General features: G+C 42.1%; 1 annotated feature.

The window, feature by feature from the left end:
• Nucleotides 1,376-2,575: an enhancer, noted in NCBI's record as "CDK7 strongly-dependent group 2 enhancer chr5:81661015-81662214 (GRCh37/hg19 assembly coordinates)". NCBI's record gives its function as "activates an origin of replication core promoter dependent on BRD2, BRD4, P300/CBP, MED14 and CDK7 cofactors, with strong dependence on CDK7, by STARR-seq in HCT116 cells {active_cell/tissue: HCT116}" and the evidence as "EXISTENCE:reporter gene assay evidence [ECO:0000049][PMID:35650434]".

The following is a 4,215-nucleotide window of genomic DNA, read 5'->3' on the forward strand; positions in this document are numbered from 1 at the left end:
AATATTTCCATGACTCAAGTTTCTAATCTACACAATGCAGAAAATAATAGCACCTTTCTCCTGAGGTGGCTGTGAGGATTTAAATGAAATAATTCATGTGAAATGCTTATATTACCTGGCATTGAGTTAATATTCAATAAATGACAGGTATTGCTATGACCAGTCCTGATGTGAGGGAGGGCTAAACTAGATACTCTCCTTCCCAAATCTTATATTTCATATTTCTGTTCAATGTAGGGATTAAAAGGGACAAATGCATCTAGGTCATAGCCCTAGAGAGCCTTTGATTGCTTTCCCCCCCTTTGTTCTACTCAGTGCTCCTTTCAACTTCTTGAGGCGTGCATCTTGGGGAAGAAGTGTCAATCTTCTTTTTCTCAAATACATGTCACTAAAAATAAAGTGGCAGTGTACTTGAGAAGGTGCGCTCCATTCTGAGGACCCAGGGAGTGTGCTTTTGCTCATGTTCTTGGGAAATGGTAATCATATTATGCAGAAAACCAGAAAAGGATATGCCTAAATTCAAATTGTGTCAGAGATTTTTATGCCTACCAATTTGTTATTGTTTCTATGCCTTGTATTAATATAATATGACTTGAATAAGTATTTAAATAATTGTGCAATTAAAAAGAATTATATTCATTGTTAGAGAAAAAAAGGCAAATGCAACAGAGGCGGCATAACCACACATTATGTTTTTATCCAACTTCCTGGTCGAATCCTGCCACGGTTTGCTGACAGTATGCCCACGCCACATTTTTTGAGAGAAAAAACCATTTCCAGGAGCCTAGCTTTTCTTCATCCTTTCCCACAGCCACCTCCTGCCTCTAAAGTGCTTGAAGACACAGTAGGAAGGCACCAGAGGGCATTCTCAGACCATCTATTTTCAAGGAAATACAGCTGGGAAGTACAAAACAATTCTCCACTTCGGCCAGTTTTGGATGAAATGGTGGTTTCTAACACACACTCAGAAACACTTGGAGTCTGAAAGCTGCCATGCTAAACAAACTGCCATTCAACCTTGGGGTATCAGCAGAGGCATTTGACTGAGTGATCCCAATTCACAGGACAGTCAACGTTGTCCTCAGAAGCTGGGCAGGCAACATGGGCAAGCAGAGAAACCTGCCTGAAAATCCAGAGATGTGGGGCTCTTGGTTCCAGCATTAACTGCTTTTTGACCTTCAGCAAATTACTTTGTGCTCCAAATCTTAGTTTTCTCATCTATAAAAGGAAGATACGAAAGAATACATGAAGATCATTTTGAAGTCTAACTCTCAGTGGTTGAATTCCTTTCTTTTTTTACTCTCCCTCCCTTCCTTCCTTCCTGATTAAAGGAGAAACTGGGATATACTAATACTGTGTTTGGAGTAGGTCTGCTCTGACCTTCTAGTGCTGAAGAGACAGTCTCTGAGGATTGGCAACACACACTGCTCATTGTCGAGTTGAAAGTTGAGCACTCAGGCTTTGAGTGGCTTTCAGGTTTATTCAGGCTTTTCTGACTGGGGCATGCTTACCTTCTTCGTTGGAACAGCCATGGGACGTATATAGTCTAGCATCTTGGAACATTGACTCTACACAAGAATTCTGGAGAAAAATATGACATTTTTAGTGTTAAATAGAGATATTATGGAACATAGGTTAAAATTTTGCGTGCATTTTTACTGTGAAAGAAGACTTTAAAAATGTGGGATCTGTAGTTGGATGCTTTGGGCTGTACTTTTGTATCTCCTAAGATTAGAATTATCTCTTTGTATTATTTGGAGTGTATTGGAGGGAAATTTTAGGAAAGCTTACCCCTTGGGGTACGTTTTGAATGTGTCTCAGGCTGGGTTCCCTTGAAGCAGAGCCTGAGGCAAGCATTTAGCTGCATGCAATTCCCTGAGGGCATGGCATATTCTTTAGGGGGAAAAACCTACTAATAAGAGAGAGATGCAGGAGAGGAAAGGGCAAAGAGCTGTACAATGATGTCTTCTCAAGGACTGTGATCTGATTCATTGTGTGCGTGTGGGTGGGTTCTGATGAATGATTCACACCACAGAATTGACTCACCTTGAGGCAAGGGGACTGGAATTTTGTACACCCATATCAGTTGGTCATTATTTACAGGTAACCATAGGTGAAGCCTGAAAGGCGACAGTCTTCAGTCAGGAGGCAATTCCCCAGAGAAAGGAACAGCTATAAGCTGTATGTAGTCATGGTGTGCTAGAGTCAGCTCACCACAGCTCACGAGTGCTGTGTGCACATCACTTCCCAAATGCCCTTTCTGTGACTTCACCCTGACAGCTTGCAATCGGCCAGGACAGAAGCATTACATCATGAAAATCAACAAAAGCTACAAATCCCAGGCCTTACACTCCACAGGCAGCCAGATGTTAAACGTTTACCAGCATGGCCCTGGCCAACCTTCTCTGTAGCGAGAGGCTGGTGTCCTAGCTGGTGAAGGGGATCGGAGGAGGGCACCAACAGCATCTACTACATTGGAGTTACAGAGGATTTGCCCACAAATGATCTCCCCAACTAATTCGTCAGTTGGCAAAGCCATTCCTTTAGGGGTTGCCTTTCCTAGCCGGAAGAGGAGATGTATATACTATTGAGAATCATAGAACCAAGAGTCCACCACACTCCAGTCAAAACGACTGATTATGTTTTATAAGTGCAAGAGAAGGGCAGAGAGGAGGTGAGGAAAGTGTGTCATCGGAATTACCTGCAGTAAGGGGCAAGAAAGGGCTTATATTGCCTGAGGACAGAATTTAGAATAGCATTGATGCTATAGTATTTTTTTGAAGATTTTTTTTTCTCAGAATTTATTATTTAAAACACTGCACTTGACTGACTTCATTGATAGTTAGACTTTTTATTGTAAAATATTTATTGAGGAAAATTTCAAATATACATAAAATATATCTACAGCTAATGAAGAGTATAATAAACCCTCACCCCTCAGATTCAAAAATTATTAACTTATAGCCAATCTTCTTTCATCTATATCTCTACTCACTTCCTCTTGGGAGCATGGGAAGTTTTGGAGACTTAGTTAATTGGATAAAAGTTGATTGTGGCTAGAAAAAAGCCAGAGGCTGGCTGTGATAGCTTACGCCTATAATACCTGGACTTTGGGAGGCCGAGGTGGACAGTTGCTTGAGCCAGGAGTTTGAGCCTGGGCAACATGGTGAAACCCTGCCTTACTAAAAATACAAAAACTGGCCGGGCGCGGTGGCTCATGCCTGTAATCCCAGCACTTTGGGAGGCCAAGGTGGGTGGATCATGAGGTCAGGAGTTCAAGACCAGCCTGGCGAATATGGTGAAACCCCATCCTACTAAAACCACAAAAATCAGCTTGGCGTGGTGGCACGTGTATGTAGTCCCAGGTGCTCAGGAGGCTGAGGCAGGAGAAACGCTTGAACCCGAGAGGTGGAGGTTGCAGTGAGCCGAGATCGCGCCACTGCACTCCAGCCTGGGTGACGGTGCGAGACTCCGTCTCAAAAAACCAAACCAAACAAAAACCAAAAACAAACAAACAAATAAAAATGCAAAAATTAGCTGGGTGTGGTGGCATGTGCCTATAGTCCCAGCTACTCGGGATGCTGAGGTAGGAGGAATACGCTTGAGCTCGAGAGGTCGAGGCTGCAGTGAGCCATGATTGTGCCACTGCACTCCTGCCTGGGTGATAGAGCAAGGCTCTGTCTCACAAAAAAGAAAGAAAGAAAAAAAAAAAGGCAGATTTGGGGAATTTACCAAGGACTGTGGGAAAGGATTTGGTAGACGGAAGACACAGCAGCTAATGGACCACTTTCCCTAACCTATTAGGATCTACTAGGAATCATTAGAAGATATATGAAATGCATTACATGAGACCTGTATTCTGATTAACCTCACAATTTTTATCTCCAGCTCTTCCTAAAATGAAAAACCAGTGATGAAAAGAGAGTTACAAATTTCCTATAAAAGGAATTCAGTACGTCTTTGCTCTCTGAATACTTCTTTTTCCCCTGGGCTTTCTCTCTTCAGGTAGACAAGAGAAAAATGTCAAGACGATTTCTGAGTACAAATTCTAAATGATATTCCATCCTAAAGCAAGGCTTGTTGCCTCCATAACAAGATAAGAATCTTAATTCTTATTTGATGGGCAAAGAAATGTTATTAGAAAACAGAAGCAAGCTTGGACCTTCTTGTGACATGGACTTACGGTGATGGATTATGCCTATATACAATATTCAT

The sequence above is a fragment of the Homo sapiens genome, chromosome 5 (assembly GCF_000001405.40).
Source record: "Homo sapiens chromosome 5, GRCh38.p14 Primary Assembly".
NCBI lineage: Eukaryota > Metazoa > Chordata > Mammalia > Primates > Hominidae > Homo > Homo sapiens.